Source organism: Homo sapiens, chromosome 17 (genome assembly GCF_000001405.40).
Source record: "Homo sapiens chromosome 17, GRCh38.p14 Primary Assembly".
Taxonomy (NCBI): Eukaryota; Metazoa; Chordata; class Mammalia; order Primates; family Hominidae; genus Homo; species Homo sapiens.
The window spans coordinates 39756972-39781372 of record NC_000017.11 but is presented as its reverse complement, the minus strand read 5'-3'; the positions used below and the strand labels follow the sequence as shown (position 1 = coordinate 39781372).

At 43.6% G+C, this 24401-nt stretch overlaps 1 protein-coding gene across 17 annotated transcripts in view, besides 5 other annotated features; it reads left to right on the top strand.

Moving 5' to 3' along the window:
- The window catches only part of IKZF3 (IKAROS family zinc finger 3), a 106598-nt gene extending 82940 nt beyond the window's left edge, over positions 1–23658 (top strand). For 9 of the 17 annotated variants that reach the window (NM_001257409.2, NM_001257408.2, NM_001257412.2 and 6 more), the window contains 2 exons: positions 3606–3722; positions 14880–23655. In NM_001257409.2, coding sequence (NP_001244338.1) covers positions 3606–3722; positions 14880–15583 — 821 coding nt within the window. In that variant the 3' untranslated portion in view covers positions 15584–23655. Of the gene's footprint in view, positions 1–3147; positions 3489–3605; positions 3723–14879 lie in introns of those variants that run through there. The other 8 variants (NM_001257413.2, NM_001257414.2, NM_183232.3 and 5 more) reach the window with 4 other exon arrangements.
- Positions 2759–2992: a silencer, noted in NCBI's record as "fragment chr17:37934634-37934867 (GRCh37/hg19 assembly coordinates)". NCBI's record gives its function as "represses an EF-1alpha promoter that drives an FKBP-Casp9 reporter gene in an ReSE screen in K562 erythroleukemia cells {active_cell/tissue: K562}" and the evidence as "EXISTENCE:reporter gene assay evidence [ECO:0000049][PMID:32094911]".
- Positions 8652–8711: an enhancer, noted in NCBI's record as "active region_12108". NCBI's record gives its function as "activates an Ori minimal core promoter by ATAC-STARR-seq in GM12878 lymphoblastoid cells {active_cell/tissue: GM12878}" and the evidence as "EXISTENCE:reporter gene assay evidence [ECO:0000049][PMID:35858748]".
- Positions 10909–10978: a silencer, noted in NCBI's record as "silent region_8467". NCBI's record gives its function as "represses an Ori minimal core promoter by ATAC-STARR-seq in GM12878 lymphoblastoid cells {active_cell/tissue: GM12878}" and the evidence as "EXISTENCE:reporter gene assay evidence [ECO:0000049][PMID:35858748]".
- Positions 14281–14350: an enhancer, noted in NCBI's record as "active region_12107". NCBI's record gives its function as "activates an Ori minimal core promoter by ATAC-STARR-seq in GM12878 lymphoblastoid cells {active_cell/tissue: GM12878}" and the evidence as "EXISTENCE:reporter gene assay evidence [ECO:0000049][PMID:35858748]".
- Positions 23134–23213: an enhancer, noted in NCBI's record as "active region_12106". NCBI's record gives its function as "activates an Ori minimal core promoter by ATAC-STARR-seq in GM12878 lymphoblastoid cells {active_cell/tissue: GM12878}" and the evidence as "EXISTENCE:reporter gene assay evidence [ECO:0000049][PMID:35858748]".

Genomic DNA, 24401 nt, shown 5'->3' with positions numbered 1-24401 from the left:
GGAACCAGGATGAATGTTCCTAGTCAAAGTGCAAACTTAGCTACCTCTCCCCTGATTCTAAGAAAAAAGTCTCCTAACAGCCCCAGGAACTTACTGCAAATTCCAAGCTTTGTCTTTCATCTCTCTGCTCTTGGGGCTTTGGGTAGTGCCACATCTGGTGGTGGTTTTGTGTGAAAGGAAATAATATATATAAATAATTTCCTGTTTGGTCATTTAAACCTATCCCTGTGCTGGACAGAATTTGACCCTCTTCACTCAATAGCAGTGTCTTGTGGCTGAAGTGCCCGTTATTTACAACTGCTGGTCAGCCAGAGTCAGTCGAGTACTTTTGCACTAGCCCAAAAGCCACTCAGGCCCCCTATTCTGACCCTTACTGTTTTCATTTACACAAATAGTTGTTAATAGCTTCACTGAAGGCTATGATTTATTCCTTTAGAGCCTAGAATTATTTTTGACAAGAAACTCACTGTCTAGTAAATATTGTCATTATTATCACATTATTATCATCCTCTTCTTTTTCATTTTTGGAGCTGGATTTCTTTTTCTTTTTAAGAGATGGGATCTCACTGTGTTGCCCAAGCTGAACTTGAACTCCTAGGCTCAAGCCATCCTCTCACCTCAGCCTCCTGAGTAGCTGGGACTATGGGCTAGTGCCACCACACCTGGCAGAGCCAGATTTTATGTTATTCCAGGAAAAAAAAAAAAGCTGAGCTTTGGCTGAGTGCAGTGGCTCATGCCTGTAATCCCAACACTTTGGGAGGCTGAAGTGGGAGGACTGCCTGAGGCCAAGAGTTGGAGACCAGACTGAGCAATATATTGAGACTAATAATTTTTTTTTTTAATTAGCCAGGCATGGTGGCTTTAGACTGTAGTCCCAGCAACTTTGGAACCTGAGGTAGAAGGATTACTTGAGCCCAGGAGGTTGAGCCTGCAGTGAGCTGTGATCATGCCACTGCACTCCACCCTGGGTAACAGAGTTGAGACCCTGTTTCAAAAATAAGTAAATAAATTAACTAAATAATGAAAACTGAGCTTTATAATGTATTGTGTAATGACTAACATACAGTTTTTTAAGGCCACTAATAAAATTAGAAATATTTAATACTTTGGGGCTTTTTTTTTTTTTTTTAGACAGAGTCTCACTCTGTCACGCAGGCTGGAGTGCACTGGCACTAATAGGTTGGTGCAAAAGTAATTGTGGTCTTTGCAGTTACCTTAATAGTTCACCGTAACCTCAAACCCCTGGGCTCAAGGAACCCTCCCACCTCAGTCTCCCAAGTAGCTAGGACTACAGGCGCATGCCAACATGCCCAGCTAATTTTTTAAAATTACTTTTTGTAGGAACAGGATCTTGCTATATTGCCCAGGTTGGTCTCAACTCCTGGCCTCAAGCAATCTTCCTGCCTCAGTCTCCCAAAGCACTGGGATTACAGGGGTGAGCCACTGTGCCAGCCACTACTTGCTTTTTACTCTAATCCCTTAAACTAATTTCAATTTATTCTTCCTTAGACATAATAGAAATGTATGGATAGTTCATTTTAGTTTGGATCTCCCGAAGTGTTTATGAGAAAACAGAGAAAAATGTTTACAGCATCACAATATGTTTGCCCAGGGCAGGTGAGGGCAAACTGTGGCGCTCTAGGCAAGTGCAGCCAGTGGCCTGTTTGTGTACAGGGATTTTTACGTTTTTAAAAGGCCGTGGAACAGAAAAAAAAAAAACAAAAAACAAAGAATATAACATAGAGACTATATGTGTCTGGCAAATTTTTAAAATTTACTGTCTGGCCCTTTACAGACAAAAGTTTGCTGATCCCTGGTTCAGGCTAGCATCATGTGTTAAAATGTCAAGCCTTGTATTTAGAGAAGCTGGTATCTCTTTGAAATTTATTTAATTAATTTATTTATTTTTTGGAGATGGAGTTTTGCTCTTATTGCCCAGGCTGGAGTGCAATGGCTCAATCTCGGCTCACCACAACCTCTGCCTCCTGGGTTCAAGCGATTCTCCGGCCTCAGCCTCCCGAGAGCTAAGATTACAGGCATTCGCCACCACACCCAGCTAATTATTTATATTTTTAGTAGAGATGGGGTTTCTCCATGTTGGTCAGGCTGGTCTTGAACTCCCGACCTCAGGTGATCTGCCCGCCTCGGCCTTGCAAAGTGCTGGGATTATAGACGTGAGCCACCGTGCCTGGCCTTCTTTGAACTTTAGACATAAATTTGGGCACTGCCTGCTGAATTGAGGTAAATTATATTCATTACAGTTTACTATTTTAGTTGATTAGATATTGCCACTATTTATATACTCTTCTAGTAGTTCTCAATTCTGGCTGCATTTTAAAATCATCTGGGGAGCTTTGAAAATATTCTTGCCTAGGCCCCTATACCAGAAATCCTGATTTAATTGATCTGAAGGGGGGCCTGGGCATAGGTATTTCTTACCTGCTATTCAGGTGAGTCTAATGTGCAGCCAGGTCTGAGAACCACAGGCCTACACCACTCACAGGTCTATTTGTGGATGGGCCCACATTCATAGGCAGGTTTTTTTGTGTTTTGTTTGTTTCTTTGTTTTTTGAGACGGAATTTTGCCCTTGTTGCCCAGGCAGGAGTGCAATGGCGCCATCTCGGCTCACTGCAACCTCTGCCTCCCAGGTTCAAGTGATTCTCCTGCCTCAGCCTCCCGAGTAGCTGGGATTACAGGCATGCACCATCACACCAGGCTAATTTTGTATTTTTAGTAGAGACAGGGTTTCTCCAAGTTGGTCAGGCTGGTCTCGAACTCCGACCTCAGGTGATCTGCCCACCTCCACCTCCCAAAGTGCTGGGATTACAGGCATGAGCCACCGCACCCAGCCCATAGGCAGTTTTTATTCACATTTTTATTAGAAATTCAATACAGATGCATTATACAAATTGTTCTTTAATTTCAAGGCAGAAGTGTTGCTTAGGGAAATTTTAATTGAGACTATTTTGAAATGTGAAGAGCATATGAAACAGATAATACAGAGCACAGAGAAACAGAATATGAAAGATAGGAACTGAGAGGAGCGTGCTGAAAAAAAAAAAGAAAAAGAAAAAGAAAGAAACCACTCAGAATTTCAATACACAAATCACTGAGTAGATGTCTTGCTATCTGTGTGAGTGTACCTATTTTCAAAAGTGCTGTTAACATAAACAGAGCAGTAAATCTGGGGCACCATGCTTTTTTTTCAAAGTTGTTAAGAATTATATCAGTCTGCAGGTGTCACACGCAGTTACTCAGAATCAGAAAGAAGGCTGATCGGGGGTTAGATCTCCATCTATCTATCTTTTTGCAACCAACCACGTCCAGGCTGTTTATTTAATACTTCCTCTTGCTAATGAAGGTACTGGTTGGGGATGGGTCGAGCTTTCCCATCTCGGCATAAGACTGCAAGATTTGAATGTGCCCTGGTGTCGGCTTCACTGACCACAGCAGGTACCCCAGGCAAGAATCTGAGCAGTTATAACAGGTAACAACAATAGAGTGTGCATCCAACTTCGGACACTTCTCCTTCCAGTTTATTTCCTTTTCTCCCCATGTACCAATGTGTTCTTTTCTCTCTTCTTTTTACATTTTTCCAAACTAGCAAGTGCGGAGGCAAGACACATCAAAGCAGAGATGGGAAGTGAAAGAGCTCTCGTACTGGACAGATTAGCAAGCAATGTGGCAAAACGAAAAAGCTCAATGCCTCAGAAATTCATTGGTAAGAATACAAACCTTTTTCCTGCTGTTGTTAGCAGATAGTTTGAATGAAATAACATAGGATGCTTGCTACACAAGGCCTTTCCTAGCTTAACCTCTGTTAAAATAATTAGTTTTTCATTGTGTACTTTTATTCTTCATGGTTCATTCTGATAGCTCTGGAAAATAGAATAAAAGATATTAACTAAAGCATCATCATGACAGGAGATGGGAGTAGTTGATATCCAATTTCCTAAATGGATGTGATGTTTAAAATCCTGTTCCTTCCTCTTTACTCTGAATGACATATGTTGCATGAGAGAGTTTATGCAATTTATACCAGTAAGATGTTCAAGATAGCATTTTTGTAATCTTTTGTAATTATATTTTACAAGTTGGTTCGTTAGCATGCTCAAACTTTTTTCATGCTCTAAAACATATTGCCATATTTTCTTGAATTTGAGAATTGGCTTTAAGGGAAAGTGGTTGGGCAAACATAGATTTAAATAACAAGGTTTGATTTAATCATTTGTCTTACTGGAGTTCATTTTTATGCCATTGGTTTTCACATTGTCAAAAAATACAGCAGAATGAGATGGGTATGAAATAATTATGTTCATTGAAGTGTTAGGACTTCCAAATGGCAGAGACATTTTGCTGAACTCTCCCAGATGTTTACATAAATGTGACCATGATATTTGAAATAGATTTGTATTTGTGAAGTAGACAGCTGAAATTGAATGTATCAGTTTTGCTATAAATTGAAAGTTGGTGATATTGAACAAAAATAGTTATCACATGAAAATAGACCTCCCTCAACATCAGTAATATTTTAGAAACCTGTCTCAGCCTCTTTTTCCAAAGCTGCTTGCCGCTGTTGATTTTTTATTTCAGTCCTTTTGTATTTATTCTTCTCAATAGCTCTTACAGATAATAAGTTGCCTGCCTGGTTTTTAAATCTGACTAAATTTGATTCTGGTATAGATAATGTTTTGACAAGCAAACAGTCTATGTGAATTATAGAGGTATATTGAAAGAACCCATATATTTCAAAATTACCTAATTTGGTATTTCTGCCTACTTATTTTATTTTGACTAGCTGAAAGGTTTTTGTGCACTTTTAGTCACTTTAAGAACAAATTGTGTCAGAGAAAAGTTGGTATATTTCAGTTTAGGGAGATCCCCTCCTCCTTGCTGTCCTCCCTCCCCTTGGTGAGACATGTCAGGGGAGCATGTAGTGACTTCCATTTAGAGTTTAGGCACAGTAAACAAATGGTGAGTTTAAGACATTGTCTACAAATATTCCCATATATCTTTTGGGCTTTACTTATGTGAAGAGGTTCTGACTGGAGTACAAAAGAAAGCTTGCCTTATTATTCTGAGTGTATTTTAGTTTGGAGAAAGTTATGGGTTTTGTTTGTTGGTTTGTTTTGAGACGGGGTCTCACTGTACTGCCTAGGCTGGCGTGCTGTGGTGCAATCACAGCCTCAAACACCTGGGCTCAAGAAATCCTCCTACCCCAGCCTCCCAAGTAGCTGGAACTATGGGCACGCACCACCAGGCTCAGCTAATTTTTAAACTTTTTGTAGAGATAGAGTCTCCTCATGTTGCCCAGGCTGGTCTGGAGAAAGCTTTGACTCTAGAAATGGCTGAAGCCGACAAGAGGAGGGACATCATAGGGAGAGCTGGGCAAGAAAAAAATGTAAAGCGACTTCATTTCTTTCTTTCTTTCTTTTTTTTTTTTTTTTGAGACAGAGTTTCACTCTTGTCGCCCAGGCTGGGGTGCAATGGCGCGATCTCGGCTCACCGCAACCTCTGCCTCCTGGGTTCAAGCGATTTTCCTGCCTCAGCCTCCTGAGTAGCTGGGATTACAGGCATGCACCACCATGCCTGGCTAATTTTGTATTTTTAGTAGAGACAGGGTTTCTCCATGTTGGTCAGGCTGGTCTTGAACTCCCGACCTCAGGTGATCCACCCGCCTTGGCCTCCCAAAGTGCTGGGATTACAGGCGTGAGCCACTGCGCCCAGCTGTGACTTAATTTCAATCCAGTTGTGGTCAATGCATTTTGGTGTAAGACAACTAAAATTTGAGAGACAGTCCCTAGTATTTTCGGTTGCCCTAAACCTATAGTTGAACTAAAGCCCTACTTAATATAATAAAAGTTGCTTTGGTATTTCATGGGTTCAAAAATATAGCATGTTTCATATGTGCAAATTCATGCCATTTTGCCTGTTGCCTCGGGGATCTATTTCGTTTGTTTGCTACAATTGCAACCAGAGGATTTTCACTTCACTACTTCCAGACTTGTGAGAGATGCTGATCTTGTAGGTGTTGATTTCTCTCATCTTCTGAACCATCACATTCTCTCTGTGCTGGAATCAGAAACCTAGTAGAGTTAGCTCTTGATTGAGGTAGCAACTTCAGGGCTTCAGGGCCCAGAATAACTGGGGGAATTTTTTTTTTTTTTCGTAAGTTGTGTTGTAGTGCAATAAGAAGAGTACTGGATTAGAAGCTAAAAGACCCAGGTTCTGATCCTAGCTCTGTCATTTCTTAACTGTGTGTTTAGACCAATCACAGAACCTTTCTGGGCCTCTCTTTACTCATCTGTGAAATGAGGAGACTGAATAGGTGATGAAGTGACCAGGAAGTCTCCTCCCATGTACAAGTCTGTGAGATTAATTAGAAAAGAAATAAAAGGCAGCAATTATTGATACCACTGTGTGTTTAGAAAGCCCATGTGCGTAACTTCAGATAGCCTTTTTCTCAAGGCTATACAGATGTGGTGTTTATGCTATAAACCATATCCTAGGTTTTTAGAGTCTTTTTTGTTTTAGGAAGATGGTATAAATCTGAGAATCTAAAACACAGTCGCATTAGCCCGACATTCATGTGTTTTACTTAGGGCAGTACTACTTGTTCACTCACTTTTTTGTCCATTCATTCATCATACAGAAGGTTAAGAGTTCCTGTCATATATATGGTATTCTTGTTTTGGGCACTGTTCTAATCTTCTTGCATTAACTTATATCCTAAACTTTTGTTTGAAAGGTTTTTAAAAATTAAAAATAAAAGAAACCCCTTAAATTATTTAATTGAATCAACCTTTGTGATAGAAAATAGTAATGTCAACGGAGGGAGAAAGGAACATTATTTGTGACACTGTGCAGTGTATGAGATGAAGTGATGTAAAACATGGGGCTACTGTTTTCTCTCCATCTCCCCTCGCCTTGCCTCGCCTCACCTCACCTCTCCTCTCTTGTCCTCTTGTTCCCTCCCCTCCTCTTCCCTCCTCTCCTCCCTTCTCTTCTCCTCTTCTCTCCTTTCTCCTATATTTCCTCTCCAAGGCACTGTTTTTTGAAGATTCAGCTGCCAGGGTAATGGCAATGGGTAAGGTGTGAAGGAAGAGTGAGTCATTCCCTTTAATCCTTGCTGACAGTTGCACAGCACTCAGACCAGCCTTGACTTCCCTGACCTCTTGAACTGTGAGGGTAAAGGTGAAAATAGACCATCAGGTCAGCCCGCTGCTATCTCAGGCGGGCTGGCGATAATTACCAGTAGGGAGCATTTTGCATCCATTAGAGATGAACTGGGGAAGAGGGACAGATTGGATCAAGTCTAAATGTATTTTGAGACACAAACATGCTCTCAAGTTGGAGAAAAATATTTTTTTTTCTAATTCTCCAAGAAATTTTGTATGTCTTTGTTTCAAATGGGAAAAAAAAAAATGGACACACGTCCATCAGGAATCACCATCTTTACATTGTCAGAATAATTCTGTTTAAGTTGTTCTTTTCAAAGGACAAGAAGACCTTCCTTTGCACATACTGTCCTTTAGGGGATTTCCTTTCTCTGAATCTTGTTCTCCTGTTATAAACTTGTTTGACTACACTTCAAACTAGGCCATCCTCAAATACTTGGCTCAAAATGGATTTCTCTCTTGGATGCAGAAGAAAAATGACTACATTTCTGCATATTTCTCCTGATTTTTATTCTTTCCCAAAAAAACAGATGTTATTCAGACCAAAGTGGTTACCATAGCATCTCCTTATTTTAAAAGTTTTATGTATTACTTTATTAAAGGAAGTTTTCATAACGAAAAGAACATGAAAAAAAGATCTCACTCACCTGTGGTAAACATGTTAATGAGGTTTTGACACTTCAACAAACCATCGGATCTCCCTGTGAAGTAACTAATGAGAAATTGCCTGCTTTGGTTAACAGCAACAGGAAGCAGTTTTAATACCTGTTTCTAAGAGAAAAAAAAGTATTTTTCCAACCCCTTCCCAAAGGCCTGATGTCCATAATCCTGTAAGCATTACAATGTCATAGTATTTTTGGGCTATTAGGAACCACCAGTGAGGCTCTTTTACCATGGAAGGAAGGAGGATCAGAGAGGTGGAGTGACACAGCTGGCAGGTGACAGAGCAGCGCCAGACCTCGGCCTATAAGGCACTGCAGTCCAGGCCCTTCCTTCCCCAGGAGGTGACCAAGAGCAGTGCATGTCATGCGCGGGGCTTTGGACAGCAAGGAGTCTGGTCATTGAAAGTTGGTGGGAGAGGCCAGGTGCAGTGGCTCACACCTGTAATTCCCCACTTTGGGAGTCCTAAGCAGGTGGATCACTTGAGGTCAGGAGTTCAAGACCAGCCGGGCCAATATGGTGAAACCCTATCTCTACTAAAAATACAAAAATTAGCCAGGTGTGGTGGTGGGTGCCTGTAATCCCAACTATTTGGGAGGCTGAGGCACAAGAATCACTTGAACCCAGGAAGCAGAAGTTGCAGTAAGCCGAGATCGCACCAGCTTGGGCAACAGAGCAAGACTCTGTTTCAAAAACAAAAAAGAAAATTGATAGGAGGAAAAAAACCCTTGAAGAAGGGCAATTGTTCTCCCTCAAGGGTGATTCTCTTTAGAAAAGAACAGTCTTCCCTGGTGACTCCATGAGAACAGATGACATCCACACAGCACTTCCCAGTGTCTCACAGAGGACAAAGACTTCTGCAGCAACCAAATGTGGTCTCCAGCTCAGCTTTCCCCAGTGCCACCCCCACAGCTCTCTCTGTTCTTTCCTCCTTCCTGTTTCTTCTTGTTCTCTGGCTCCCCTCTGTTTTCCACCTCCTGCAAGAAGTGTTAGTTTCACTTAGGTTGAGATCAGAGCCATGATGATGGTTGGATATTCTATTTTCCTGCCTTTTTTGTTCATTTGCTTTTGGATGTGTGCTGATAGTAAGAGTGAGGGATAACACTTGTGGGAAATTATATGACGCAGCAGCAAACACATTTAAGTGACTTGAAGAACTTTAAGACTTAAGACCTGAATATTTCACCTTACCCCATCATGGTGACTCTAAATATTGGATTTCTGTTATTTTTCTAAAGGTTCGATCATTTTGCCCCCCTCTTCAAAAAAACCTTTCAATGGCTCCCAGTGGAATCAAATCTAAACCATTCAGTCAGGCCTTCTGAGCCCTCCACAATCTGTCTTCAACTTACCTCTTCTAATTTTATCATTTCAGCCAACCAGTCCTTTACTTCAGCCACAATGAACTCCTCCTCCCTCTTCTGTGTAATATCTCACTCTTGTCTGAATGGCCTCCCTCACATCTGCCCTTAAAATACACATTGTAGGCCAGGCACAGTGCCTCATGCCTGTAATCCCAGCACTTTAGGAGACCAAGGTGGGAGGATCACTTGAGCTCAGGAATTTGAGACCGGCCCAAGCAACATAGTGAAACTCTGTCTCTGAAAAAAAAAAAAAAATCAAAAACCTAGCCAGGTGTGGTGGCATGGGCCTGTGGTCCCAGCTACTTAGGGGGCTGAGGTGGGAGTATCACTTGAGCCCAGGAGGTTGAGGCTGCAGTGAGCTGTGATCACGCCACTGCAATCCCACCTGAGCAACAGAGTGAGACCTTGTCTCAAAAATAAAAAATAAAAAGAAGCACACATTGTCCACATTCCCACACCCCTGTGTTCTCTCTCTGCTCCATCCTCCCTCTGCACTCCAGGCGAGTTTACTAGTCTGCTTCTTATTATAGATATGACTGTCTCCACCACCGTCACTACCACCACCTCTGATTTCAAGGAGACTTTAAAGAATAGATGAATCTTTGCCCCATATTAAGTGTGGCATATTTGAGAAGTAATTCAGTTTTCTCTTTCCACTCTCTTGGCTACTCTATGTTTTGTTCTACCATGTAGCATTAAGGATACTGATTTGTCATGAAATGATGTACATGCTGCATCTCCTCTAGTGGATTGCAATTTTGTTGTATTCCTCAAATCACCTAACCATGGTGCTAAGCAAATAATGGGAATAGAGTGCTTACACATGCCTGGCACTGCTAAGCACTTTATAGATATCATAACAACTCTGCACAGCATATACTTCTTGAGTGCATGTGCTGGTCCATGTGGAAAAAGCAGTTGCTGCCACTAAGCCCCCTTTCCCTCTGCTATGGGAACCATCACAGCAGAAAACCTGAAGTCACTGCTGGTGGTGGGGCTGTGCAGCCATGGGCAAGGTAGCAGCCAGGAAACATCAGTTAACACTCAAACATATACTGGGATATGTGGGCTCTTGGATTACATCCTGGTTCTCTGTTCACCAACTGGGCAATCTTGGAAAGTGAATCAAACTGTTTGTGCTTTAGGTTCTTCATCTAAGAGATGATAATTCATACCTTAAAAGGTATCATACAAAAATTAGCCAGGCATAGTGGCACGTGCCTGTAGTCCCAGACACTTGGGAGGCTGAGGCAAGAGAATCACTTGAACCCAGGAGACGGAGGTTGCAGTGAGTCGAGATCGTACCATTGCACTCCATCCTGGGTGACAGAGCAAGACTCTGTCTCAAAAAAAAAAAAAAAGTATCAACCCCTAATGGGCTGGTAAAATGAGACAGTATGCAAAGTATCTAGGATGGCACGGTGGATACAGCAGGGGCTCAATAAATAGTACTTATCATTATTGGGATTATTGTATATAAGGCACAGTGCAAGGTACTGTGAAATATAAAGACCAGAAGTAAACATATTAGGGTGGTGGGTCTTCCCCCTCAACCCTGCAGACAGAGTTCTGAATCCACTTGCTCAGTTAAGGGCCCTTTTAGCTCTAGCCTGTGATTCTGTACTTCCAAGTTGGCACTTAGAAGCCAACAACCATATGTCCTCACCACATTGCATCAGTTCAGGTCAGGTGGTTTCTTAGTTTAGAGTTAACAAAGCCAAGATATAAGACATTGACACCTTTAAAAAGAACCACAGGTAGGGAATGGCCCAACCAGGCAGCCTTAGTTTCTAAACTTAGGACTTGCTGTTGCCGTGTGTATTTTTGTTGGAAGAAGACCTCTAATTCAGCCTGAAGCTGGTATCATGAATCATTCAAAGGCGTGGTGTGATTTTGACTAGAAGCTGGACCAGATGCTCCGTGCAGGTTTGGAAGCAGTTACACTTTTGTGGTTTGACTAACCTTTTTTATGAGTGTGTTACTAAAGAAACGTGAGCTGTTGGCTTTTCAATTACTGTAGTTTACCCTTTCTGGGTTTCATACACATTGAGTCATCGTGTCTACAGGTGACTGATAATCATCTGCACTGCTCAAGTTACCGTAACTCAGAGACGAGGGGATCTGATGATTGCAAGTTGCATGCACGTGAACATCTGAGGCTGCCCCATCTCCTTAACAATGAACAATGGTCTGTGTTAACTACAGAATTCAGTCACATATTTCCACTCATCCAGGGGTTTATCTTCCTCTTAATGTTTTGCCTTTTACAATTTTAGCACTCAGCTGTTTTCTGACATATGCTGCAGGTGGTATAGATTGTGAAATTGTAGGCCTTGTTAAGTAAAGCAAACTCTTAGGAGAAAGGATAAAATCAGAGTTTGTGATGTGCCTACCCCACCCAGAAACCTTCTGGAGCCTCTCTGTTGGGTGAAAAGAGAAAAAGTTTCTCAAGGACCCCTGGTATTTAGGGAGATGAATAGAGGTGGCCACAGTGGAAAATAACCAATAACCTTAAAAAGGCCAAGAAACCGAAGTTCATCATTTCTGTGTCACATTCTAGGGAATGAATGTCTGTGACCTTAGCTGGCTCTCATGTTCTCAGTCTTCCAGATGGCCTTGACCAAAGATATATCCAATCTGGAAACTGAAAATAAAAAACATTGATTACTTTGGCCAAGGTCTACTCTGCTGTTGCTTCTCATTGAGTTTCCAAGACAGGGTATTTTCGTTTGCATATTTTTTTTCTCTCTCAGGTATTTCTCTGGAAACTATCAGGTTGGCCTTAAGGTCAGCTGCTTGTGGGGATGCAAAGACAAATTCATCTCATGGGAATAGATCTTTTAGCTGGTTCTTCTGGCTCCAATTTCTCACTGTTCTGGTCTGCCTTACACATTGCTGTTACGTTAACCACAAACCTGTCTTTCTCAAGGGCAGGTAGCCTTGGCTCTTGGTTCGGATTCACACCCTACAGTGGGCCATTCGGAATGCCCACCATTCGGTCCTACCATGCATTATCTTTTTTCAGTGTTTCCCCAAATGTAGGATGCAAATTGCCAGCAAGCACATGGAGCATTTAAAAACCTGGGTCCACACAGCAGGATAATTATTTTCTTTCCAGTTCTCTTTCAGTCTCCTGGATCATACTAAGGAGAAAAATTTAGACTTAATTTGATGCCAGTTGTCTTTAACACTAATCTCACACTTGGTAATCTCTGTTTTTAACAAAGGGGGAAGGGATCTTAGTCTCCAAGTACTCACAGTAGTATCCGATCAAAATTTAATGAAATGCTCTGTTTCATTGTCTTTATTTTTCATAGTTACCTTCTACTTGTGGAAAGTGATTCTGGTTTTCCGTTTATGTTAGTGATATAAAGTTTCCTTAAAAACCACATTTATTTTAGAAAAAGAAAAAAAGAAAGAAAATGTGAACCAAATCAAACAGAGGAAAAAAACCCAAGCATTTACCAAGTGTTTTCCATGTGGCAGGCCCTGTTCTAAGTGCTTTCCAGTGACCCTGTGAGGTACATACAATTATCTTCACTTTACATGAGGACACGGAACATAGGTTAAGTGACTTGCCCAAGGTCACAAAACTGGTGACCAATGGAGCCAGCATCAAACCCAGCCCATCTGACACCAGAGTTTATTCTCTCAACCACCACACTGCCCTGGTGTGTGGATATTGCAGAATGTGAAGGAAGAGTGAAGCCTGAGAAATACTGTATTTCATACTTCTTGATCGCGTTTCAGCCAGACTCGCTTTCTGCACACGTCCCGTGTAGTCCCACCTCTCTGCCTTCATTCCTGCACTCCCCCTCAACTAGGATGTCCTCTCCCGCTTCTCTGAAAATCTAAATTCTTCCAGTTCAAGACCCTTCTCAAAATTTAGATTTTCCAAGAATGCTTTCCCTTCCCCAAGTACTTCTGAAGTTTCTGCATTCCCTTAATGCCTAAATATACAATTTATACCAAATTGTCTCACCGATGCCTGTATGTTACCTTATTATTCTTTTTAAAGAACACGTTACTTCCCTGCCTAAATGCCTCAAATGTGGGCATTTAGAATAAAAGCAAAGACCTCCATAGAGCAAAGCAGTCCTTTTACAACTTTTTTTTTTGAGACAAGGTCTTACTCTGCCACCCAGGCTGGAGTGCAGTGGTGCCATCTCAGCTCACTACAATCTCTGCCTCCCAGGCTCAGGTGATCCTCCCACCTCAGCCTCCTGAGTAGCTGGGACTACAGATGCCTGGCTAATTTTTGTATTTTTTTGTAGAGACAAGGTTCCTCCATGTTGCCCGGGCTGGTCTCGAACTCCTGGGCTCAAGTGATCCTCCCTCCTCAGCCTCCCAAAGTGCTAGGATTACAGGCCTGAGCCACCGCGCCCGGCCAACTTTTAACTTATACTTTTTCTCGAGTTCTATATATATATAGGTCTTATTTCTCATCCACTAGGTTGGAGACACCTCAAGAACAGGAACTGGTTCTTCCAATCCTTTTGTTTTCTCATGGCATTTTTTCTTCTTCTTCTTTATTTTCATTGCTGAACCCTTTACTGTAGGGCAGTGACAAATTTTGGAATCTCAACATGACTAGGAAACATTATAGAAGGATATGGTTTAGCAAATCCCTCCAGGATCCAAGCTGACAGAATGGAGAGGCTCAACAGTGACCTCAGCCTCACCTCCAGCACTCGGCTCCACTTCCTCGCTTTCTCTCCCCTCTCCCCACCACTCACCACTGAGCACATCTGCCCTCACTGCAGTCCCCATCCCTGCCTTCCCTGTGACCAGAGAGCCTCTGTTTTCTAACACACAACACCCACACACTCTGAAGGTGGCTAAACTCTGTTTTCAAAACTTCTCAGCAGTTTGACATGAGAAGTAGGAGAGGGTGACCACAAGTATATTTTTTCAGTTAAGTGTGAGATAGGCCCTAATGATCACATGTGTATCAGAGATACACTTGCCAAGCAAAGGAAGAGAAACACACGTTAGGAAAGGGACAAAGACCATGATCTCTTCTCAAGAAAACTTTTCTCAAACTTTCTACATTTGAAGCTCTTTCACTTCAGTCTCAGTCAGCCAGGACGGGTGAGTTTGGGGAGTAGCCAGTTGGAGTCTGGGGGGCTATTTTCTCTATCTCTGTAGCTATTTAAAAAGCTGCCGAGGTGAGGCACCGAGTGTCCCCACTCTTTGCAGCACTTCTGTCCCCCTGGCTACCTAATATTGCAAGCAGAAAATAACAAGCAAAAGCAAAATAAGAGTTGGGAGCCGACTGTGTCTTAAGAGATCATGAACTATAGCAGAAGTCCCAGGCTCCTGTGGGCTGGTGGCTCCCTTGTCCCTCTAGCCCCATCCTAGTGTCCTGCTTCTTTCCCTCCTTTCTTGAGGGCTCTCCTCTAACATGCACAGTGGGCATACCTTACCATGTGGCCTCAACTGAACCACATCTCTGCCCCTCTCTTCTGCCTGCTGGCTTTATTTTAACCATCCAAACACGTTGCTGCCGACCAGTGTCCCCTGAGACAGCACCATGGGAAACCATTCTGCCAGGCTTGGTCTTCTTGAGCAGCAGGCAACTTAACTCTCCTCCCTTTTTGAGGTCTCTAGAAAATATTTACAAACTCTCTGCCTTGGCAGTGTTCCCTTTGTAACCCTTTCTGTCACTTGTTCCAGGTGAGAAGCGCCACTGCTTTGATGTCAACTATAATTCAAGTTACATGTATGAGAAAGAGAGTGAGCTCATACAGACCCGCATGATGGACCAAGCCATCAATAACGCCATCAGCTATCTTGGCGCCGAAGCCCTGCGCCCCTTGGTCCAGACACCGCCTGCTCCCACCTCGGAGATGGTTCCAGTTATCAGCAGCATGTATCCCATAGCCCTCACCCGGGCTGAGATGTCAAACGGTGCCCCTCAAGAGCTGGAAAAGAAAAGCATCCACCTTCCAGAGAAGAGCGTGCCTTCTGAGAGAGGCCTCTCTCCCAACAATAGTGGCCACGACTCCACGGACACTGACAGCAACCATGAAGAACGCCAGAATCACATCTATCAGCAAAATCACATGGTCCTGTCTCGGGCCCGCAATGGGATGCCACTTCTGAAGGAGGTTCCCCGCTCTTACGAACTCCTCAAGCCCCCGCCCATCTGCCCAAGAGACTCCGTCAAAGTGATCAACAAGGAAGGGGAGGTGATGGATGTGTATCGGTGTGACCACTGCCGCGTCCTCTTCCTGGACTATGTGATGTTCACGATTCACATGGGCTGCCACGGCTTCCGTGACCCTTTCGAGTGTAACATGTGTGGATATCGAAGCCATGATCGGTATGAGTTCTCGTCTCACATAGCCAGAGGAGAACACAGAGCCCTGCTGAAGTGAATATCTGGTCTCAGGGATTGCTCCTATGTATTCAGCATCGTTTCTAAAAACCAATGACCTCGCCTAACAGATTGCTCTCAAAACATACTCAGTTCCAAACTTCTTTTCATACCATTTTTAGCTGTGTTCACAGGGGTAGCCAGGGAAACACTGTCTTCCTTCAGAAATTATTCGCAGGTCTAGCATATTATTACTTTTGTGAAACCTTTGTTTTCCCATCAGGGACTTGAATTTTATGGAATTTAAAAGCCAAAAAGGTATTTGGTCATTATCTTCTACAGCAGTGGAATGAGTGGTCCCGGAGATGTGCTATATGAAACATTCTTTCTGAGATATATCAACCACACGTGGAAAAGCCTTTCAGTCATACATGCAAATCCACAAAGAGGAAGAGCTGACCAGCTGACCTTGCTGGGAAGCCTCACCCTTCTGCCCTTCACAGGCTGAAGGGTTAAGATCTAATCTCCCTAATCTAAATGACAGTCTAAGAGTAAGTAAAAGAACAGCCATAAAATAAGTATCTGTTACGAGTAACTGAAGACCCCATTCTCCAAGCATCAGATCCATTTCCTATCACAACATTTTTAAAAAATGTCATCTGATGGCACTTCTGCTTCTGTCCTTTACCTTCCCATCTCCAGTGAAAAGCTGAGCTGCTTTGGGCTAAACCAGTTGTCTATAGAAGAAAATCTATGCCAGAAGAACTCATGGTTTTAAATATAGACCATCATCGAAACTCCAGAAATTTATCCACTGTGGATGATGACATCGCTTTCCTTTGGTCAAGGTTGGCAGAGCAAGGGTATAAAGGGGGAAATTGTTTGGCAGCACCAACAGAAAACAAACAAACAAAAAACAGCTACCTAAAACTTCTTGAAAGAGTTCATGGAGAATTGGTGATACAGACCCAAAGCAAATTTGCCAATGATATTTTCCACAAAAAAAGTCCAAAAAGTATGGCTCAGCCTCCCCCTCCCCACAGGAGAGGAATTGGAGATAGATGGCATGTGTGTTTAGATCGGAGTTGAGCTCCGGAATGGGGTGAGGAGGGACACCTCTATTGAGAGGTTCTCCTTGATCAGGCAGGCTTCGGCCCTTTTTTTCCCATTTAAATGGAACTGCTGTATTCCATGAAAATTCCTGAAAGTCTGATCACGGTTCTGCAGATGTATAAGTCATCCTTGTCACTCATAATATGTACATACTATCAGGAGGAGTGCTGTTATCATGGTAAAATTAGCACTGGAATAGGAGGTCACAAAATGCTGGCTAATTAGCTATGTGACTTTGAGAAATCGTTTAACTTTTTTTTTTTTTTTTTTTTTGAGACAGGATCTCACTCTGTTGCCCAGGCTGGAGTGCAGTGGTGCAATCATGGCTCAGTGCAGCCTCGACCTCCCCAGGCTCAGGTGATCCTCCCACCTCAGCCTCTTGAGTACTGGGACAACAAGTGCACACCACCATGTCTGGCTACATTTTGTTCTTTTTGTAGAGATAGGGGTCTCACTATGTTGCCCATGCTGGTCTTGAACTCCTGGGCTCAAGCAATCAGCCCGCCTCAGCCTCCTAAAGTGCTGGGATTACAGGTGTGAGCCACCACACCCAGCCTTATTTAACTCTTAAAACTCAGTTTCCGGCCAGGCTCGGTGGCTCACACCTGTAATCCCAACACTTTGGGAAGCCGAGGCAGGCGCATCATTTGAGGTCAGGAGTTCGAGACCAGCCTGACCCACATGGTGAAACCCTGTCTCTACTAAAAATACAAAAATTAGCTGGGCAGTAGTGGCACATGCCTGTAATCCCAGCTACTCCGGAGGCTGAGGCAGAAAAATCGCTTAAGCCTGGGAGGTTGAGGTTGCGGTGAGTGGAGATCACACTACTGCACTCCAGTCTGGGCGACAGAGTGAGACCCTGTCTCAAACAAAACAAAACAAAAACAAACAAACAAAAACAAAAAAAACTCAGTTTCCTCATCCATAAAATAGGAATTAGATTTCAATGTTCTCTTAGGTCCCTTCTAGCTTTAATTCATATGTGATTATGCAGTAACCACAAGGTATTTTTTAAACCTCCTAATGTATGGATATTAAGCAGAAGAGTATTTATATGAATACATGTTTCACATTCCTTTGGTATGAAAATGGTGTGTTAAGTTTTTCCTTTAACCACTGAGTTGTGAATGTGAAGAAGGTGGTGGAGAGGAACAAAAAACAGAAAGGTATTTTGATCTTGCCACAAAGCATACACACAAATTGGCACATGCAGCTGTTTGCCAAAGCCTTCTTTTTTTTTTTACTTTTTAAGAAATTATGTTAGGGAAAATAAATTCTGCTTCCAGGGACAACTTCATGGAGCCTATTTACAAATTAAGAGTCAGCTTAATTTGTAACATTTCTACCAGAGCCAAGAATCCCAAATTCCTGGTAGATTAGTGTTTTATTTCTAAGGGGCTTATGCATTCGGCTCCAACTCAACTCGTCTATGTGCTGCCAGTAATTAAAATGTTCCACCTCAGACTGCACAAATGGCTTATCCTTCTTTGTGGCATGGCGTCTGTCTCAGGAAAAAAGGTTTTATGAAATTCCATGGCAACAGTCCCAACATGTTTGAGACTTCAGCTAAAGGAATGGATGTATTTTGGTGTGTAGTCTTCAGTATATCACTGTATTTCCGTAATACTAGACTCCAAGCTATGCCAGATTGCTTATTCCCTTTGTGAAAGAGGAGTTGCTCATTACGTTCTTGAAATATCGCACATCCTGTTGGTTCTTCAAGGGACAAGAGAAAGAGAATTTGGAAGCAGGGATTAGTAGAAGAGAAAACGAGGGAAAGGAAGCCTTTCCACCAGATTAGTGTTCAAGTCTTTGCAGAGGAGACCAACTTTTTTTGTTTTCTTTTGTTTTGAGACAGTCTCTCGCTCTGTTGCCCAGGCTGGAGTGCAGTGGCGCGATCTCGGCTCACGGCAACCTCCGCCTCCCGGGTTCAAGCAATTCTCCTGCCTCAGCCTCCCAAGTAGCTGGGATTACAGGTGCTCACCACCAAGCCCGGCTAATTTTTGTATTTTTAGTAGAGACAAGGTTTCACCATGTTGGCCAGGCCAGTCTCAAACTCCTGACCTCAGGTGATCTGCCCGCCTTGGCCTCCCACAGTGCTGGGATTACAGGCATGAGCTACCGCACCCAGCCTGAGACCACCTTTTGCATCTCAAGATTGTGAAACCAAGGCCCATTCCACCAGCCTGGGGACTCTTTTTATAGATATGATCCTCCTTTTTCCTGTGACTAATGAATTTGCTGCATGATTTCTATTCTTCTGAGGTTAGTTTTCTGAGTAAGGTGACCACTCACAAAGGCACTTTCTTTGTGGCATTCTGAGCCTAGATTGGGGCCCATCAATTCCAGAAAAAATTTATGTGTGGAAACTCTGCATCCTTAAGTCTTGAAGTTGAACCAGATATGCAGTGGTTACCATCACACAGATAAACGCTGCCTTCTGTACATACCCCTTATGCTGTACTAATTAACAAACCCCTTGCCAGGGCTGGGGAGGTGAGGGTGAAGGAGAATCTTAGCAGAAGGGCAGAGTCAGGACTTGCATCTGCCACTGCTGGGCACTGAAGCCCTGGAGCAGCTTCAGATAGTACCTGTACTTTCTCATGCAGACTCCCTCTGAACAAGAGCCTTGTAGGCCCCTCTCCTTCATTTCCCACCAGCCTCTTATCAGGCGGGCTTTCCACCATACACCCAGGAGGCCACGGTCTGAGGAACAACCAAACCCATGCAAAGGGCCGGGCGCGATAGCTCACGCCTGTAATGCCAGCACTTTGGGAGGCTGGGGCAGGCAGATCACCTGAGGTTGGGAGTTCGAGACCTGCCTGACCAACATGGAGAAACCCCCATCTCTACTAAAAATACAAAATTAGCCGGGCGTGATGGCACATGCCTGTAATCCCAGCTACTCAGGAGGCTGAGGCAGGAGAATCGCTTGAACCCGGGAGGCGGAGGTTGCGGTGAGCCGAGATGGCACCACTGCACTCCAGCCTCGGCAACAAGAGCGAAACTCTGTCTAAAACAAAAACAAACAAACAAACAAAAAAACCCAGGCAAAGTTTCCTTGCAGCCAAGGTGACAGAACTGGGCTGAGGGTGGAAAAGAAACAGAACCAGTGCTCCAGGTGTTTTTTAATTTTTTAATTTATTTTTATTTTTTTTGTATATGTATATATATGTATGTATATTTTAGAGGACCAGGGTCTCACTATGTTGCCTAGGCCAGACTCAAACTCCTGTGCTCAAGCAATCCTGCCTCAGCCTCCCAAGTAGCTGGGATTACAGGCATGCACAAACAATGCCCAGCTCTCCAAATGTTTTCTGTCACTACCTGAAGTGTTGCATCGGTACTTCCTACGGAAAGAAAACTAAATAGAAGTGTCTCTCCCGTGAGCCCCCACCACTACCACCAGAAAAAAAAAAGAGAGAAAATGAACTCATCAGTCTTTAGTTTCCTCAAGTTATTCTCCCAAAAAGACATTCGCCTTGGCACAGATAAGCCAGCTAATCTTATGCTTTATGACCCACTGTGAGCTGTTCCTGACACAGCTTCTGACTTTGTCAGTGACAAAATTTCTCACCTTTTAAATGCAGTGCTTAACATTTTGTTAGGCCCATACTCAAAATCGGCCAGATATAAAATGACCTCAGATTTTGATCTCCTAGGCTCAAACAATCCTCCTACCTCAGCCTCCCAAGTAGCTGGGACTATAGGCACACCACCATGCACAGCTAATTTTTTTTGTATTTTTCTGCAGAGATGGCGTTTCGCCATACTGCCCAGGCTAGTCTCAAAATCCTGGGCTCAAGCAATCTGCCCACCTCAGCCTCCCAAAGTGCTGGAACTACAGGCAAGAGCCACTGCGCCCAGCCACAACCTCAGATTTCTTTGGCAAACAGAAATGTTTAAAAACACAAAATTTTGCTCAGGTGAAACACTGTGTTACTATCAAATCTCACATCCACATAAAGTTTTTCTTTTCGGCTTTGTTTCGTGAGGAACAGACAGAACAAAGTTTTTCCAGGTAGCATCTGTATCACTATTATTCTCCTATTTCCTGTACCACCCCCACCTCCCCAAGCCCTACTGAATGTGAGGTTTAGAATGTTTTAAGGAGGGTCAGGTGCGGTGGCTCACGCCTGTAATCCCAGCACTTTGGGAGGCCAAGGCGGGCGGATCACCTGAGTTTGGGAGTTCGAGACCAGCCTGACCAACATGGAGAAACCCTGTCTCTACTAAAAATACAAAATTAGCCAGGCGTGGTGGCACATGCCTGTAATCCCAGCTACTTAGGAGGCTGAGGCAGGAGAATCGCTTGAACCCAGGAGGAGGAGGTTGTGGTGAGCCGAGATCGTGCCATTGCACTCCAGCCTGGGTGACAGAGTGAGACTCCATCTCGAAAAAAAAAATACAAAAATTAGCTGGGTGTGGTGGTGCACACCTGTAATCCCAGCTACTCGGGAGGCTGACGCAGGAGAATTGCTTGAACCTGGGAGGTGGAGGTTGCAGTGAGCCGAGATCGCGCCATTGCAATCCAGCCTGGACAACAGAGTGAGACTCCATCTCAAAAAAAAAAAAAAAAAGAATGTTTTAAGGAAAAAAATAGTACTGTTACATATAATCCCAGGTGATAAGACCACAATGGAAATGTTTAAGTCCTCACTTTAAAGAGTACCCCACTGAGAAGAGGTATGTTGGACTCTAGCAGAGATTTGGAAACTCTGGGACACTCAAGATGTGAAAGAGCCTGGCTATCTGAGGACTCAAAGAGTCAGCATCGGGACTTGTGAGCTCAAGAAGAGAAAAGGGAGTGGTGAAACTTTGTCCTAAAAGTTAGCACCAGGAACAGAAGAAAAAAACCCGATATATAGTGATACCTCATCTTTTAGAGAATGGGAAGCTATTTTTGTGTTCACACAGAAAGTATAGTTCAAAAAACCTCTATATCCAGAGTTCAGACAAGGAGAATGATTTGAGATATAAGTGCCGATGAAGGAGGTCAATTTTGATCTGAAACCAGCAGCTGGACCTGGGCCACCTCAGGAAAAGGACTCTGTTCTCCAAGGCAGCACGACTGAATGGTTCTGAGAATAAGCCAGGGTTCAGGACTCCTGACCCTTTAGGACCATGGACTCAGAAGAGCCTGAAGGACAATTGTGGGCTTTAAACTTCTGAGAGCTTGTAAAGTAACACAAGACTGTGCCTCTCCCTTGCCCCAGCTGTAGATAGTCTTTGCCCCACCATTGTTATGAAGATACACAGGGTTTTGCAGTTTGAATAAATTGGATACAAGTTTCCTCTTTTTTTTTTTCTTTTTGAGACAAAGTCTCGCTCTGTTTCCCCAGGCTGAGTGCAGTGGCACAATCAAGGCTTACTTGCCGCCTCAACCTCCTGGGCTCAAGCAACGAGCCATCCTCCCGTCTTAGCCTCCCAACTAGCTGAGACTACAGGCGTGGGTCACCACACCCAGCTAATTTTTGTACTTTTTGTAGAGACAGGGTCTCACCATGTTGCCCAGGCTGGTCCTGAACTCCTGGGCTCAAGTAATCTGCCCACCTCAGCCTCCCAAAGTGTTGGGGTTACAGGCGTGAGGCACCGCGGCTGGCCTGAGTTTCTTCTTAATACTGTATCACAATTGTGGGCTGTCTTATGTGTTGATATCGATTGAGCTATTTGAAATAGGAATGTTAATGGGTGTATTAAATTTTTGTAAGGATATAACAATATCTACCTTCCAAGGATGTTGTGAGGTTTTCCATGATTTTGTATATGAGCTAATGTTACCTTTGAGGGGTGGTGTGCATTATGTTGGATGATTGTAAATTTTCAGTGGAAAATGTACCGTGTCCTAAATTTAAAGACATGAAAAATATCCCAAGATCATACTAGATCATAATAGCAATTCCTTTACAAATGAATTATGGAGGTAACTGATCTCTAACAGTTTCCTTCATGTTGTTTTAATGCACAAGGGCAGAGGATCTGCTGACCCTTGGAACCAGCGTGAGCTAACCACGTGCTATAGACACTTCATGGTGTCGCACCCAGGGAAGTCAAAGCGCTTTGCTCCCTCACTGTCTGTGAGTCCTCAGCCATTAGTACCCCACCCCCCGCTGCTCCAAAACTTGAGTTATTTCAAATGTTTCTCACTGTTCATCTCTCCACTGACCCCACTCCAGAAAGCCTGGAGAGAGTCCCAAGATGCCACCCACCTTCCCCAATCCCTCGCCACAGATCTGTGTCTATCTCACACTCTGTAAGTGCCGCTTTGCTTCTTCCTCTCTTGAAAAGACTGAGAACACACATTTTAACATGTTAGGAAAATGGGGCAGCCTAAAAAATGACTGATCCCACCGCCAGTGACTCATGTATACTCCAGGCTAGCAGACAAGGCCCTTTTTGGTGGGCCTGCTTCTGTGGGTTCACAGAAACCAAATTACTGTGGGTTGCAAAGAATTAGCAGGTCATTTACAAAGCAGACATCCCTTCACCCAGACTGTGGTTTTGCATGCTCAGGTTCTCAGTCTATGAGCTTTGGTGCAGGATCATTTTGGCTACTGGAAAAACCATAGCTTATTTTAAATTTCTGGTTGCCAAAGCCACCACACGTGTGGTCTGTGGATGACCATTGTCTGCAGAATGACGAGGAAGGAACAGAATGTGGTTTGGGGCTCAGGGTGGCCTTCCCACTGGGAGGGAAGGCGGGAGGGAGCCCTTGCCCTGGGTTTTGACACAGCCTGTGCTCACAGCCTCTCCTCTCATCTGCATTTCTCAGAAATGCCCTCCCTGCCCAGTGGTGACTTTCCCTCGTCACTCCTATGGAGTTCTACCTGGAGCCCAGCCATGTGTGGAACTGTGAAGTTTACTCCTCTGTAAAGATGGTTTAAAGAAAGTCAGCTTCTGAAATGTAACAATGCTAACCCTTGCTGGAACCCTGTAAGAAATAGCCCTGCTGATAGTTTTCTAGGTTTATCATGTTTGATTTTTACACTGAAAAATAAAAAAATCCTGGTATGTTTGAAATTAGTCCTTGTGCATCCTTATCACTTATGATTTGTGTCTGCTGGTGTCAGGATGTAGAAGGGTTTCATCCCGCCCCAAGGAATACTTTCTTAATTTTGCCCCTCTATTTCTTAAAGTCCAGTTATCAAGAAAAATGAATTATCACTGAAATAAAGGTTCTCACCTGACGCCTTGCTGAGCCTACCACTGTGATCCTGCTGCTGGCCCCTGTAACCCACAAGATAGGGTTCCTGGTTCCACTGGTCCTTAGTTCACTAAGGAAACTGGAGGAGGTTGAGGACCTGGACTTAGCATGATCAGCACATTCAGCATGGTGCACCCCTATTCCAAGTCACTGCTCTGCCTTCCTCCCTCAACAGAGATTCTTCTTAAAATACAGTCAAGTTCTGACTTTTTCATGTGTGGGGGCTCACAGACATCCACATTGGGAAACTTGAGTTGCAGTCCTTAAACTCGACCATATTTAAATACAGTTTTTAGATACCTGGAGACCCAAACCGAAGGTGTTAGGGGGAAAAGTCCTAGGAGAATGGCATAGGGATGAGGCTGCTTTCTTTCCATCATCATTGTGTTCTCTCTTAGAAAACGTTAGAGAAAGTAGAGAGAGAGTCTGGCCTTCTGCTCAGCCTCATCTAAAGCACCCTCCATTTTCCGTCTTCTGTGGAAGAGGCATGAGAAAGATTGTCTGAAGTTTTAAGACTAACAAATGTGGGGCTAGGCTGGCACCAGCGTCCTCTGGCTCCATG